This window comes from Homo sapiens, chromosome 12 (assembly GCF_000001405.40).
Source record: "Homo sapiens chromosome 12, GRCh38.p14 Primary Assembly".
In the NCBI taxonomy this organism is placed as follows: domain Eukaryota; kingdom Metazoa; phylum Chordata; class Mammalia; order Primates; family Hominidae; genus Homo; species Homo sapiens.
Window position 1 is genome coordinate 110,019,773 of NC_000012.12, and position 15,386 is coordinate 110,035,158.

The window sequence follows — 15,386 nt, forward strand, 5'->3', positions numbered from 1 at the left end:
TTGTTTGTTTGTTTGTTTGTTTGTTTAACCCACCTGTGAGGTTTAATAGTTTAGAGCAAGAATCTGGAGGGGATTCAGTTCTGTTCCAGACTCATAAAGAATTCTCCAGAGAGGTCTGTGCCTTGGTTAATCCAGATGAGGACACCATCACTGGTCATGTGCCTCTGGGCCACATGGAGGGCATGGGGGGGCCTTTGAGTAGAGGCTGTCAAAGCTGTTCGCTTGTTTCTACAGTGGAGACCACTGATCCGAGGGAGTCCTAAGAGCACTGATAGTATTTGCCTAGGATGTCACATCCAGCTTTCTGCAAGCCAAAGTAGCTTAGCCTGAGAAAATGGACACTATCATCCTGATAGTATTTGCCTAGGATGTCACATCCAGCTCTCTGCAAGTCAAAGTAGCTTAGCCTGAGAAAATGGACGCTATTATCCTTATAGTATTTGTCTAGAATGCCACATCCAGCTCTCTGCAAGCCTAAGTAGCTTACCCTGAGAAAATGGACACTATTATCCTGGACTTAGGCCTTCTTTTCTCTTGATGAATATAACAACTGTCCTCTCATTATATTTTTCTTTTCTTTCTAGTATAAAATTGGTTAATAAATGTGTTTAGTCAAGCATAAAACTTGTTAAGTATCCTTTTCTTCTAATTTAGATTGAGCTGTGGAATTAGGACATCTGTTTGTAATAGAAGAAGAAACCAGTGTGTCCAGGGCTGCTGCTAGGGCAGGAGGGTGGCATCCCTGGAGGCAGGGTCAGTCCTCTTCTGCCAGCCTCCTTGCACTGGCCTGGCCAGTTGACATTCATGGTCTTTCAGGGACAGCAAAATTTAGGGACTGACTGGCTTTCCCTGGGAGGGCCTTGGAAAGACATTTCCAGGCTTCCGCATACCCTTCTGCAGACAGGGAGGCCCCTTCAGCTTAGGGCTCTGTTCATAACCCCAGAAGGCAGAGGAAGCTGCCTTTTCTGCCACTGTTCATCCGTAGGGATGAGATGGGGAGGAACTGAGTGCCATCAGCAGGGCTCCTAAATAACTGCGACTTTGGGCAAGTGGCCTCATCTCTCCAGTTTTCTGTTTCCTTAGCTGAAAGAAATAATTGAGTGAATCTGGAGATGAAATCTCCAAAGTCTGTGACTCTTAAGATGTCTTGAGAAGAGACATTGTTCCCCATATTGTTCAACAGTAGAGTTGCCAGAGTCATTGTTTGTTGAAGTGCGATTTGTGAAGAGAGGGTGACAATTCCTGGCTGTTACCCCACTGAGTATAAATGGGAAATGATAGCATATTCCATTTGTACCGAGGACTAAGGCACATTTTGTATTTTTGTGCCCACAGGGTTTTCAGAGTTCTCAAGCTAACTCTTTTGCAACTGACAGTGTGTAGCTGAGAGAGAATTTTTGGAAGACAGCTGCTTTGTTTTAATGGTGCTCAGAATTAAATGTGTGCTTGTCGTGCATTGAGCAAGAATTGAGCCACTCCTTAGGATTGATACCAGCTACGAAAAGAATATAGCTGCTCTTGAATGTGAGGTTTGTTGGTATAAAAAGTGTGTGAATTTACTTCTGATCAGAGGTGTGAGTATTCATTTGATTGAATTTGGAAGGTGTGGCCTTCTCTCATTTTCTTTTCTTTCTTTCTTTTCTTTTTTCTTTCTTTTTTTTTTTTTTTTTTGAGATGGAGTCTCGCTCTGTCGCCCAGGCTGGAGTGCAATGGCACGATCTTGGCTCACTGCAACCTCCGCCTACCGGGTTCAAGCAATTCTCCCACTTTAGCCTCCCGAGGAGCTGGGATTATAGGCACCCTCCATCATGCCCAGCTAATTTTTGTATTTTTGTAGAGGCGGGGTTTCACCACGTTGGCCAGGCTGGTCTTGAATTCCTGGCCTCAGGTGATCTGCCTACTTTGGCCTCCCAAAGTTCTGGGATTACAGGCATGAGCCACGGCACCCAGCCCCCTCTCTCATTTTTTGATGGTCACTTTTCCACTTTTTTCTAATCCGTTACTCAGAGCTTATGTGTGCAAATTAATACCCTGCCCTGATGAATTTTTGGCCTGCAGTATATACACTGTGGTTGCAGTTTGAATTTTTCCCTTTTCTGAAAGATTATGCTTTGCCCACCTCAAACAAAATATTCCCTGCCACCTTCATAGCCTTTCTCCTGATTGTGTAGCAACCACCAAGACACAGTGCCTGTGAAGTGGCCTTTGGTGTGGTCTCAGTGGAGACAGGCAGAGGTGAAAATGGCACGAGAGGGAAGCCAGGTGTTCTATCATCTTCGGATGCTTTTGCATGCAAAGTTACCAAGGGCCACAGAGTTATTAGGAAATTAAAATTTAAAACAGGGTATGAACATTGGGTTGAATAACTAAACTGCTTCCAAGAGTGGAAATGCTGAGCTGGGCGTGCTGGCTCACGCCTGTAATTCCAGCACTTTGGGAGGCTGAGGCGGGTGGATCACGAGGTCGGGAGATCGAGACCATCCTGGCTAACACGGTGAAACCCCATATCTACTAAAAATATAAAAAATTAGCCAGACGTGGTGGCGGGCGCCTGTAGTCCCAGCTACTTGGAAGGCTGAGGCAGGAGAATGGCGTGAACCCAGGAGGCGGAGCTTTCGGTGAGCTGAGATTGCACCACTGCACTCCAGCCTGGGTGACAGTGTAAGAGTCCATCTCAAAAAAAAAAAAAAAAAGAGTGCAAATGCTTAGGGCAGTAGAGGCAGGATTGCCGAAGGAGCAGAGGTAGCCCGGTGAGGAGCTTGGTGGTTCCTTGGGAGAAAAGCATAGCGCCGTCTTCCCAGCGTGCATGAAGGGTGAGGTGGAGCAGACGTAATCATCTTTCCATCCATCAGAAGAGTCTGTGCCAGAAAACAGTGACTTCCTGTGGCAAGACATCAAGTGACTTAAGCAAACAAGGAACTGAGGATTGAAGGAAAAAGGCTATCTCGATTTTCTGGTATTAATGATAAAAGGGGATTGTAGCTTATTAATCAGTTGAGTCTGGTTCCTTACCTTCTGCCCCTGTGACTGTTATCTTGTTTCTGAAGTGTCAGTTGGAGATAGCATTTGGTATAATACTTTTAGGATTCCTCTGTTTCCATCCACGGGTTGTGCTGTCCTAATTGTAGACAACTAGTAGGAAAATGGGAGCTCTGATCCCTCCTGTTCTGATGGGCTAAAATAGACACATAAACTCATTATACCATCTGGACTAATTTCATTGACCAAATCCCATTAGAAGAAAAGCAAACTATTTGGAAACAAAATGCTAATAACCGCATATGTTCTTTGTAACGTGGCTAACCTGCTGCTGTTCCCTGAGCTTCCTGCATGACATCCCAACCACTCAGTGGTCAGAGCAGAAGTCAGGCTGTTGCCGTAGCCAGGGCCAAGAGGAGCTGGGATGTGATGTCCTAGACAAAGGGTAGGGCTGGTCAGGGATCCCCTGTGAGAGGGAGCGTTTCCCAGGGCAAGCTGCTTTGAAAAAGAATCAGAGCCTCCTGGCTGCTTTTGGTTCCTAAATACATTTTTTTTCAGGAGTATGTTGAGTTGAATAACTGAGATTTTGGGCATATTACCAATGCTGCATCTGCCACTGGAATGCTGGGCTACTTTAAAAGGAGTTCCACAGAGATGGAATTAACAGCTGGGCTAAAAAAATCTGTTTTTCACATCCTTTGCCCTGCTGCACCAAACCTGCCCAAACATGTGACTCAGCTATTTTGCAGACCTAATGGCATCTCCAAGCAGCTCACCACAGTGATGAGTTCCTGGCCCACCTGCTCTTTTGTAAGGAGCAGGATGGTCTGTGCCTCATTGTTCTAAGAATTCCTCGAGTGAGATGTGGCTACTTGTGGAGATCCCACCATTGACATGCATGTCCCCAGTTAAGATGACCCAGATAAATGCTCTGACCTGGTTACCACCTTGTGGCAAGCCCTTGGATGCTGGTCATCTTCAGTCACTTCTTTGGGACTGCTGTCCAATAAATGTCACCACCTTTGTCCTCAATGCTGGCAGTTTTGTAAAGAAGCCAAGATTGGAGGCTTTCTATGCCTGGGGTGAGGCAAATTGATTAATAACTGTGGGAGGAGGGTGGAGGGTGCATAAGCCATCTGTCATTGCTAACCGCCTCCTGTGGACAATAGGACCATGATTTCCAAGTGTCCTTCACTAACTTAAGCTGGGGGGGAAAAAAACTATAAAGGCTACAGATATAAATCTGAATGGCATATTGTACATGTAGAAATTTGTGGTGTTCACTTTTTATCAGAACTAAATCCGGATTCTGGGGCTGGAGGACAGATAAAGCAGAAGTTGTTAATGGTTACGAAGCAAAGGTAAAAGGAAACTCTTAAAATAAGATTTAATATAGCTATTTAGCTTCTATGCAAATGAGGAATCTGTTCCCATTTTTTTCATGCATCTGTGCCATGGAGATGCTCTGGGGAATGAGAACTGTCTAATGTGTCTCTCACTTGGATGTTTGATTTTGTCTTATTTGACTTTCAGAAAATGGGATAGCATGCCCTGAGGAGGTCTGTAGCTATGCTAAAGAGAAACAATATGGTAGAGAAATGAGTACAGGTACCAGTTGTTCTGGTAGGAATGACAAGCTAGTCATTCCCTTAATTATTTAAAAAAAAAAAAGGAAGAGGAAGGATTAGACTTCACATGTGTTCAAATGTTGTGTAGTAGCTTTTGAGTCTCTTTTTTGTTAAATCAGCTTAATTGTAATCAGCAGGCGCACAGCCCATTTGCATGACATCAGTGCATTTAAAACATAGTTGTAATAGTGGAGACGATTGTTGATCCAGTCATCTGGCATTTTGTCAGCTGGAAAGCTGTTTCCTGGCCTTTCAGTCCCTCAGTACAACAGGGATTGATGGCTTTTGGTGTTGGAGCCCAGTGCTGCAGGGTCCTCTGGTGGCCTCTGAGTGAGCAAAGAAAGGCTTACGTCATGCTCAGCAAGATACATTTAGAAGCACTTGTCATAGTGCTGAGTGTGTTTTCTGCAGCTTTGAATGTTGGGGCTCCTCACGTGGCATATAGAGAGAATTCTTTGTTAACTGTTATGTTTGATTTTCTAGACCACCATATTCCCCAGTTATCCTTGATAACAGAGCATTTGCTCTGGCAGTTACAATAATTTTTGTCAGTGCACAGAATGCCTTTTAAATAGTGACTTGCTGGTTTTCTCTACAGCTCATAAGTCTATAGAGAACCTTGTGTTCATACCTTTCTCTTCTGCCCAGCAGATGGCTGTCTGAGTCATACTAGTATTACAAGACTACCAGCGGAGGCTGGGTGCAGTGGCTCACGCCTGTAATCCCAGCACTTTGGGAGGCCCAAGTAGGCAGATCACTTGAGGCCAGGATTTTGAGACCAGCCTGGCCAACATGGTGAAACCCCGTCTCTACTAAAAATACGAAAATTAACCAGTCATAGTAGCACATGCCTGTAATCCCAGCTACTCTGGAGGCTGAGGCACGAGAATCGCTTGAACCCAGGAGGCGGAGGCTGCAGTGAGCAGAGATCACGCCACTGCACTCCAGCCTGGGCAACAGAGGGAGACTCTGTCTCAAAAAAAAAAAAAAAAAAAATTACCAACAGAAGTACAGGATCCTGGTTTGGGTACCTTAGTTTAATAGAAACCCAGGTGGAAACCTAGATTGCAGGGCATTTGTTTGAGACTATTTAGCCACAGCAGGGCAAGCAGGAAGATGCAGCCTGTCACTGCTAACTCCTTAGTATTAAAACTGTCAAACATGGGAGGTAACTGCTGATGCATTTTTCAGTTGATAGTTTATATACTTTCTCTGAAGGATCCTAATGATAGTTAACCATTTCTCATTTTTATTTTGCTGGATTGTTTTCTGTTTTTTGCTTCAGCATTCTTGCTTTTGCTGTGCTTACTTTTGGAGTTTTGATTCCCTGTGTCACTGTTTTCTTTCGCATACACCTCTCAGGTTTACACAGTAAACAATGTGAATGTGATCACCAAAATACGCACAGAACATCTGACCGAGGAGGAAAAAAAGAGATATAAAGGTAATCACCACCACCCTCCCACCTCCTGTTTTGTTGTTATTTTTTAAGCCTAGAGGGAACTCTTTGTTGGCTCTGTTAAGTTTAGGGTTAATGTGATTGGGTTGTGTTAAGCCTAACCCTAACTTCTTCTCTCTCTCTCTCTTTTTTTTTTTTTTTGAGGCAAAGTCTCGCCCTGTCACCCAGGCTGGAGTGCAGTGGCACGACCTTGGCTCACTGCAACCTCTGCCTCCTGGGTTCAAGTGATTCTCCTGCCTCAGCCTCCTGAGTAGCTGGGATTACAAGCACCCACCACCACGCCCGGCTAATTTTTTGTATTTTCAGTAGAGACGGGGTTTCACCATGTTGGCCAGGCTGGTCTCGAACTCCTGACATCAGGTGATCCTCACCCACCTCGGCCTCCGAAAGTGCTGAGATTACAGGCGTGAGCCACCGTGCCTGGCCCCTAACTTCTTTTTTATAAAAATTTCTGGCCAGGCACGGTGGCTCATGCTTGTAATCCCAACACTTTGGGAGGCCAATGTGGGCGAGTCACCTGAGGTCGGGAATTCAAGACCAGCCTGACCAACATGGAGAAACCCCATCTGTGCTAAAAAAAAATACAAAATTAGCTGGGTGTGGTGGCCCATGGCTGTAATCCCAGCTACTCAGGAGGCTGAGGCAGGAGAATCACTTGAACCTGGCAGGCGGAGGTTTTGGTGAGCTGAGATCGTGCCATTGCACTCCAGCCTGGACAACAAGAGTGAAACTCCATCTCAAAAAAAAAAAAAAAATTTCCTGGCTGAGCACGGTGGCTCACACCTGTAATCCCAACACTTTGGGAGGCCAAGGTGGGCAGATCACTTGAGGCCAGGAGTTTGAGACCAGCCTGGCCAATATGGTGAAACCCTATCTTTACTAAAAATACAAAAATTAACCAGGCGTGGTGGCGCACTCCTGTAGTCTCAGCTACTGGGGAGGCTGAGGCAGGAGAATCGCTTGAACCCCAGAGGTGGAGGTTGCTGTGAGCCAAGATTGTCCCACTGCACTCCAGCCTGGGTGACAGAGCTAGACTCTGTCTCAAAAAAAAGAAAAAGGAAAGAAAATTTCCTTAGTCTGACTCATTCTTGGAGGTGTTTCCCCATAGTTGGCCTCAGCTGTAATTAAAGCTATTCGTGAGGGCTTGTTTATGTGTTATCAAGAACAATTGTTGAATTCAGCCAAAAAAGGAGATAAGGACATTTGAGAATATTTATCATTGGAATGAGTGATTTAGTCCAAACTATTGTGATGAAAGATTTAGACAGAACTTGGGGTCCAAGCAAAAACATTGCATGTGGTTGCCACATCCCAGCCCCATCCCAGCCCCACCAGTTCTATGGCCTTGTGAAATTACTTCTGCTCTGTGCCTTAGTTCCTCAGCAGTGAAATGCAGGTGATACCCAACCTTCCTTAGAGTTATTGAGAGGATTAGATGAGTTACGACGTGGAAGCCTTTAGAATGGCGCCTGCAGTATGTGGTAAGCATGCAGTAATTGTTCACCAGCACCACCACCACCATTGCCATTACTCCACTTTGACAGATGAGGGAACTGAGGCCCAGAACACATGGGTAGCGAGTGGCCAAGGTGGGGTTGGAATCCAGGTCTGGCTCACTCCAAAATCCAGACTCTTCCCATTATTCTGCTTTAATTCTTACAACTGTTTATCTAGTTTAGAGATCCTCATGAAAAGCACCCTATAAAGGATAAATTAGTTTATGGTTATTGTGAATGATTTGATCAGCCAGTCTGTAATTGCATTTCCTAATGAGGTAGCTTGGACCAGAAACTTTAATGAAGATCTTTTTTTTATAGCCACAAGTGAGATATAATATTAGACTTTAAACTCCCTACCCCTCTGTAGCAGACAGGAACCCGCTGGAATCTTTGCTGGGAACTGTGGAACACCAATTTGGTGCACAAGGGGTAAGTTGAAGCAATGAGCTTTCATTGCAGTTAGATGAAAGGAAACAACTTGTCTGTGTCTGGGATGGCATTTACTGGATCCTGAACAGCCCACTCTATGTAAAGGCCAAAGATACCCCCAAGCTGGAATTTGAGATACTCTTTTGGAAGAGAATTAGATGAGTGACTCTTTGAAAATAAATAAGGATTTTAGAGGAGGGGTAGTGATTATAGAAATCAGGTGCTTTCCCTCTTATCCATTATAAACGAGGGGCCTCTTTATAGAAATGGAACTTAAAAAGGATTCAGGACTTTATATTGCAACAGAGCACCTTAACAAATATTTTCTTACTTGATGCTCACAGTAACTATATGAACTTGGTACAGTGGATGTCCCTGCGGGTCAGAAAAATGAAATTACCTTTCCACTATCAAAGCTAGACAGGGAAACAGCTAGAACTTCAACTCCAAGTCTTCCAAGTCTCATGCACTTTCAGATATTTCTTTCTTTTTTTCTTTGTTATAATCAGGAGATAAAAATGTAAAGGAGAGTAGAGAAATATTTTAAAATGAAGAAATCCATTACACTTCCTGTGTAGTTTGGTGATATCCTCATAGATTTTCTTGTTCCATGCAAAAAAGTTAGTGAATAGAACTTCCCGGTCTTTAGCTGGTTAACACGTCCACCTCAGACACTGAGTGCCACAGGCCTTCACTTGTGAACATCATTTGGCATTTCTGACTCTCCTGAGTTCTGGCTCAGCAGGACCTCACCACGGAATGTGCTACTGCAAACAACCCCACAGCCATCACGCCTGATGAGTACTTCAATGAAGAGTTTGATCTGAAAGACAGGGACATTGGAAGGCCGAAAGAGCTGACGATTAGAACACAGAAGTAAGAGAGGTTCAGCTGCCATTTTCAACCTATGTATGTTTCAGAAATTGTGCTGTTTTATGGTGTTATGTTGGATCATTCCACTGCCCTCCCCACCACCCTTATTTTTTTTTCAGACGGAGTCTCGCTCTGTCGCCTAGGCTGGAGTGCAGTGGCACGAACTCGGCTCACTGCAACCTCTGCCTCCCAGGTTCAAGCGGTTCTCCTGCCTCAGCCTCCTGAGTAGCTGGGACTACAGGCGCGTGCCACCACGCCCAGCTAATTTTTGTATTTTTAGTAGAGATAGGGTTTCACCATATTGGTCAGGCTGGTCTCGAACTCCTGACCTTGTGATCCGCCCGCCTGGGCCTCCCAAACTGCTGGGATTACAGGCATGAGCCACTGCGCCCAGCCTCCTCTGCCCCTTTTTATAAAAAATAATTTTAAAATTACTTTGCCATGAAAGCTAACAGTAGATTGTCCATGTTATTAGCTCCTTTCCAAATAGAATCTAGATTGGATGTAAGAATTCCTTTTTTTTTTTATTGCTAACCAGCTTCAGCTGATCAAATTCAAATGAAACTGTTCCACCCGCTATCATTTCTTCATGCTTGCTGTCAATTAAGGCTTTGATCGTGGCAGGTTGTCATGCAGGTCGCTTGCCTTTATTGCCAGATTTTAGGGTGATGTGAATTCCTTGTGGCCCTAGACATTTGACCTTTAATAGGTCTGAATTAAGAGATGACTGGGCAGAGTGTGGAGTAAAGCTGCTGTTGTCTAGCCTACTGCATAGCAATAATCTCCTTTTCCCATCTGGTGGAGATGACCTCAGTCTTTTCTTGGTTGAATTCTGCAGGTTTAAAGCAATGTTGTGGATGTGTGAAGAGTTTCCCCTCTCTCTGGTGGAGCAGGTCATTCCCATCATTGACCTAATGGCTCGAACGAGTGCTCATTTTGCAAGACTGAGAGATTTCATCAAATTGGAATTCCCACCTGGATTTCCTGTCAAAATAGGTACTGCTAAATAAACTTCAGCAACACTTGGAGGTTCTGCCCATGTTTGTGGGTGGCAGCATGTGGGTGGCAGGATGCTTCAGGGAATTGGAGTGCTTTAGGTCAAAGTAGCTTATAGACATAACAGAGGAGGTCAGAGTTCTCCTGTGGTTTGATTTAAAGAAGTGTTATGATTAGTGGTTCATTTTGTGTATCAAAGTCAAGAGATCTCCAACCATCATTTCTATTTGCAAATGGTGCTGACAGATATAAAAAGGCATAAAAACATGACACAGTCATTGTTTTAATGTCAAACCTTAATTCAGTGAGACTTCAAATTAGATAATTATTTGAGGAAGACAGTTGACACCAAGATCCTTTGATATGTAAATATGATCTACGTCCCAAGCTAGTATGCATAATGCTATATATGTATATATCATACATACTACTCATGAAGAGTATTAATTTTGGATAGTTGTATGTTCATGATACTTGAACCCTGGCTTGATCACTTACTCACTGTGATCTAGGAGAAAATACATAACTCATTTTCTCTTTTTTTTTTTTGAGATGGAGTCTCGCTCTGTTGCCCAGGCTGGAATGAAGTGGCATGATCTTGGCTCACTGCAACCTCTGCCTCCTGGGTTCAAGCGATTTTCCTGCCTCAGCCTCCTAAGTAGCTGGGATTATAGGCATGCATCACCACGCCCAGCTAATTTTTGTATTTTTAGTAGAGATGGGGTTTTATCATGTTGGTTAGGCTGGTCTCGAACTCCTGACCTCAGGTGATCAGCTCGCCTTGGCCTCCCAAAGTGCTGGGATTACAGGTGTAAGCCACCGCGCCTGACCGAAAATACACAACTCTCAATCTCAGTTTTCCCGTCTGTGTATTGGGAAGGGTTGTTATGAGGCTTAAATAAAATTATACTTATCAAAGTACTTGGCATAGTAAGCACTTAGTAAATGATAACTATTATTGTTATTCTCAGTAAAGTTTACTTATAAAAGTTTTTATTTTGTTTGTTAGAAATTCCCTTGTTTCATGTCTTAAATGCACGGATTACATTTGGAAATGTTAATGGCTGTAGCACTGCCGAAGAATCTGTATCTCAAAATGTGGAAGGGACCCAGGCTGATTCAGGTAAAAAAATAAATAAATACAAAGTTTAGTTTTGTTATTTAAAAAAAAATTTATGGCCGGACGTGGTGGCTTATGCCTGTAATCCCAGCACTTTGGGAGGCCGAGGTGGGTGGATCACCTGAGGTCGGGAGTTTGAGACCAGCCTGACCAACATGGAGAAACCCTGTCTCTACTAATAATACAAAAATTAGCCGGGTGTGGTGGCGCATGCCTGTAATCCCAGCTACTCGAGAGGCTGAGGCAGGAGAATCGCTTGAACTGGGGGAGAGGCGGGGGGATGGAGGTTGCTGTGAGCCGAGATTGTACCATTGCACTCCAGCCTGGGCAACAAGAGCAAAACTACATCTCAAAAAAAAAAAATTATAATTCAGTCATCATATTCATAATTCACTCTGAAGCTGGAATATCTGAGGGAGTAGATGTCTGTGTTGGATGAAAGAAAATTTCAGATTTAGTTTAGATTAAGCAAAAAAAAACTTGTAGAATATATATGATCCTAGTTATATTAAAAAGAAAGGATGTTCTTAAAAATCAGCTTTATTGAGGTGTAATGTACATACAATAAAATGCTCTCATTTTAAGTGTGATGGTTCAGTGCATTTTTTTTTTTTTTCTCAGAGTCTCACTCTGTCACCTAGGCTGGCATGCAGTGGCACAATCTCTGCTCACTGCAGCCTCTGCCTCCCAGGCTCAAGCGATTTTCTTGCCTAGTCTCCCAAGTAGCTGGGAATACAGGTGCGTGCCACCATGCCTGGCTGATTTTTGTATTTTTATTAGAGACTGGGTTTCACCATGTTGGCTAGGCTGGTCTGGAACTCCTGACCTCAAGTGATCCACCCAGCTCGGCCTCCCAAAGTGCTAGTGTGAGCCACCATACCCAGCCACATTTTGACAAATGTATGCATCTGTGTAACCACCACCATAGTCAAGGTAGACAGCATTTCCATATGCCCCCAAATTTCCTTACACTCCTTTGCCATCAATACAATTCATGATTTTAGATGCAATTGTAAATGGACTTATTTTCTTAATTTCATTTCCAGTTACTAGTATATAGAAATATAATTGAGTTTTGTATTTTGACCTTGAATCGTTTTTAAAAATTTTTTATCTTTTTTTTTTCTTACACAATTGCATGGCCAGGATTGACCTTGTTTATCTTGTAACATGGCTGAATTTACTTGTCTTACACTTTTTTGTAGATTTCTTAGAATTTCTTACATATATGGTCATGTTGTCTATTAATAAAGAAAATTTTACTTTTTCCTTTCTAATCTTTAAGCTTTTCATTTCTTTTTCTTGACTTACTGGACTGGCTAGGACATCTAGTACAATGTTGAGTAAGAGTGGTAGGAATGGCTGTCCTTGTCTTGTTCCTGGTTCTAGGGGAGGAAGGATTGTTGTGCCATTAGGTATGATGTTAGCTGTGTAGGTTTTTTATAAATGTCCCTTATTAGTTGGAGGACATTATTCTCTTATATTTCTAGTTTGCTGAGAGTTATTACCATTTTTAAGTATTGATTTTTGTGAGATGTGTTTTCTGCAACTATCATGATGGTCCTATGTTTCTCCCCTGTAGTCTACCAGTAGGAGGAATTAAAAGATAGCATTTTAATGTATATAAATTAAGACTTCAAATAAAAACAATTGAACTCGACAATAATATACACCTTTACATTCCCATGTAGCAACAAAGTTGGGTGAGATGTGTTCATGAGGTTGTGCAGCTAAGGAACACTCGTGCACTCTTGGCTGGAAGAGGAGATTGGTATAGTTCCTTGAATAAAACATTCGGCATTACTGTATAAACTGAAGATGTGGATGACCTAGCAATTCCTAGATGTGTACCCTAAAGAAAGTTATGCACATGAGCATCTGGAGACCCCAGTACTGGGCAGCAGCATCCATTCATAACAGCAGAAACCTGGAAACGACCCAAATGTCCCGAGATGGTAGAATGCGCTATTGTGCTCTATTAATACAACAGAATAACATATAGTATTGAAAATAAAAATTTATAGCTATGTGCGTCAAAACTGTTGAATTTCAAAAGCATAATGTTGAATGAAGAAAATCCAATTTGAAGAATAAATTCCGCATGATTCCATTTATGTCGAGTTCACAAACAGGCTAATACAAACTATTAGGATGATATACATGTGGCAAGCTCCAGAGAAGAGCTAGGCAGTGTAAACAACTATTCTGAATTATGTATTTACCTCTGGAGAGGAAGAAGGGAATATTGTTAACAAGGGATGTGCCCGCAGTATGGTATTGATAGTGTTTTTTTCTTTTTCTTTTTTTTTTTTTTTTTTGAGACAGTCTTACTCTGTCACCCAGGCTGGAGTGCAGTGGTGCGATCTTGGCTCACTGCAAGCTCCGCCTCCCGGGTTCATGCCATTCTCCTGCCTCAGCCTCCCGAGTAGCTGGGACTACAGGTGCCCGCCACCACGCCCGGCTAATTTTTTTTTTTTTTTGTATTTTTAGTAGAGACGGGGTTTCACCATGTTAGCCAAGATGGTCTCGATCTCCTGACCTTGTGATCTGCCTGCCTCAGCCTCCCAAAGTGCTGGGACTACAGGCGTGAGCCACCGCGCCCGGCAGTTATTGATAGTGTTCTGTGTCTTAGGCTAGGTGAAGGGCACACAGGCATTTGTTTAATTATTATCATTTTTAAGTGTTCAGATATTTTATATATACTTTTATATATTTACCATATATCTTCCTGCAAAAGGAAGAAACACATTGGTGTGACTGTGCGTATATGTTTAGGGGGAGAAATCTGCGCTTTTCATTTTATAGTCTTGTGTATTTTTTTATGACTGTGTTCGTTGTTTCCACTAAAATCAAGGAAAAAGAAAAAAGCTGTATTCTGTCACTTTTTTCTGTCATGCTTCCTCAGAATCTCTCATATAATAGTAAGCCTTGATTGTTATAATTTTGAGCCTTTCTTTTTTTTCTAATGTACAACATTTTTGCAAAAAGTTGGAGTGGAAATGTAATGAACTCAGACACTGGACGGTTGCCTTTTGTTTCAGCTTCCCACATCACAAACTTTGAGGTTGATCAATCTGTGTTTGAAATTCCCGAATCTTACTATGTTCAAGACAATGGCAGAAATGTGCATTTGCAAGATGAAGATTACGAGATAATGCAGTTTGCCATCCAGCAAAGTCTGCTGGAGTCCAGCAGGAGCCAGGTGTGTTTATCAGAATACTCTAATGGCAGGGCGTGGGAGGTCTTACCCTCTGGGTTAGCCTCAGTGTTTGGCTAATCTGAAAGATTTATTCTAAATATCAAGTTTGACACATTCATGGTATTTGCATAGGTTATACTTTGTGCATCTGGTCTTCTTACAAAAGCTTGTTATGTAAGAGACCATCTACATAATCCCAGTCAGCACCATTCACAAGATGTCTTCAGGCAGACTTTCCTTTTCCTCATATTCACGCACATAGCTTGTAATTCTGTACTTTTTGAGATGTGCTTCATCATTTTCTAGCACTGAAGCAGTATCATATTTTTCCTGAAGGATTACCTGTGTGTCAGTAGTCTCGGATGAAGGTAGTGAAGTGGATTTGAATCCCACTTCCTCCACAAAGGGTACCATCTCCCTAAACTCTCTCTGGGTCTCTAGTGAAACAGAAAATGAAGGACAGGACAGACCTGTGTAAGCAGTAGGCTTTGTGTGTGTGTGTGTGACTCTATGTTGCCCAAGTCGGAGTGCAGTGGCTGTTCCCCGGCATGATCATATTGCACCCTCAAACTCCTGGGTTCAAGAGATCCTCCCACCTCAGCCTCCCAAGTAGCTGGGACTAAAGTCATGCACCACTGTGCCCAGTAGAACAGTTGCCTTTTATTGTCATATCTGGTTCTCCCTCCATGCCTCACCTACCTGGGACAGTCCAAGGCTTGAGGTCCTCCTCCCCTAACATCAACTCCTTCCATCTCCTTCCTTCTGTGCCTCCTGGCTCTACTAGGGTAGGGTCTGGTCTGCCTCCAGCACCCTCTGGTGTGTCCTGGGTTCCTGCAGTCCATTTATTTGTTAATTGGCTTTTTCTTCCATTCTTCATTCAGATATTTGCAGAGTACCTTCTTTGTGCCAGGCTCTGTGCCAGGTGCTGGGAATTCTCTGGGAAGCAGCCCCTGCCCTCACAGGGCTGCTGCTTTGAGAACAGTGCTCACACTCCAGCGTCCTCACTGGTTCAAGCTTATAGCTTTCTGGTTCTATTCCTGAGTCTTAGTGCTTGTGTAATGTGAGTCTACCTCCTCCACTTCCCCCTGCCACCACCATGGCCCCATTCCCAGACCCATTCAGTTTTCCGAGCCAGACCCCAAAGCAAGCATGTTCCCTTTGGGAGGCATCCTGGGAGAAGACCCCTGCACATCACCATCAGCCT

General features: G+C 43.3%; 1 protein-coding gene across 12 annotated transcripts in view, besides 3 other annotated features; it reads left to right on the top strand.

Moving 5' to 3' along the window:
• The window catches only part of ANKRD13A (ankyrin repeat domain 13A), a 40,551-nt gene that overhangs the window by 20,560 nt on the left and 4,605 nt on the right, over positions 1 to 15,386 (top strand). For 4 of the 12 annotated variants that reach the window (XM_005253984.2, XM_005253980.4, XM_011538937.2 and 1 more), the window contains 7 exons: positions 4,274 to 4,340; positions 5,970 to 6,051; positions 7,933 to 7,994; positions 8,737 to 8,870; positions 9,706 to 9,863; positions 10,873 to 10,986; positions 14,025 to 14,185. In XM_005253984.2, coding sequence (XP_005254041.1) covers positions 4,274 to 4,340; positions 5,970 to 6,051; positions 7,933 to 7,994; positions 8,737 to 8,870; positions 9,706 to 9,863; positions 10,873 to 10,986; positions 14,025 to 14,185 — 778 coding nt within the window. Of the gene's footprint in view, positions 1 to 4,273; positions 4,341 to 5,969; positions 6,052 to 7,932; positions 7,995 to 8,736; positions 8,871 to 9,705; positions 9,864 to 10,872; positions 10,987 to 12,674; positions 12,939 to 14,024; positions 14,186 to 15,386 lie in introns of those variants that run through there. The other 8 variants (NM_033121.2, XM_047429810.1, XR_944812.4 and 5 more) reach the window with 7 other exon arrangements.
• Positions 2,999 to 3,499: an enhancer, noted in NCBI's record as "H3K27ac hESC enhancer chr12:110460576-110461076 (GRCh37/hg19 assembly coordinates)". NCBI's record gives its function as "activates a minimal SCP1, AML or CMV promoter by ChIP-STARR-seq in naive H9 embryonic stem cells {active_cell/tissue: H9 hESC(naive)}" and the evidence as "EXISTENCE:reporter gene assay evidence [ECO:0000049][PMID:30033119]".
• Positions 5,162 to 5,231: an enhancer, noted in NCBI's record as "active region_6992". NCBI's record gives its function as "activates an Ori minimal core promoter by ATAC-STARR-seq in GM12878 lymphoblastoid cells {active_cell/tissue: GM12878}" and the evidence as "EXISTENCE:reporter gene assay evidence [ECO:0000049][PMID:35858748]".
• Positions 8,242 to 9,441: an enhancer, noted in NCBI's record as "BRD4-independent group 4 enhancer chr12:110465819-110467018 (GRCh37/hg19 assembly coordinates)". NCBI's record gives its function as "activates an origin of replication core promoter dependent on BRD2, P300/CBP, MED14 and CDK7 cofactors, and independent of BRD4, by STARR-seq in HCT116 cells {active_cell/tissue: HCT116}" and the evidence as "EXISTENCE:reporter gene assay evidence [ECO:0000049][PMID:35650434]".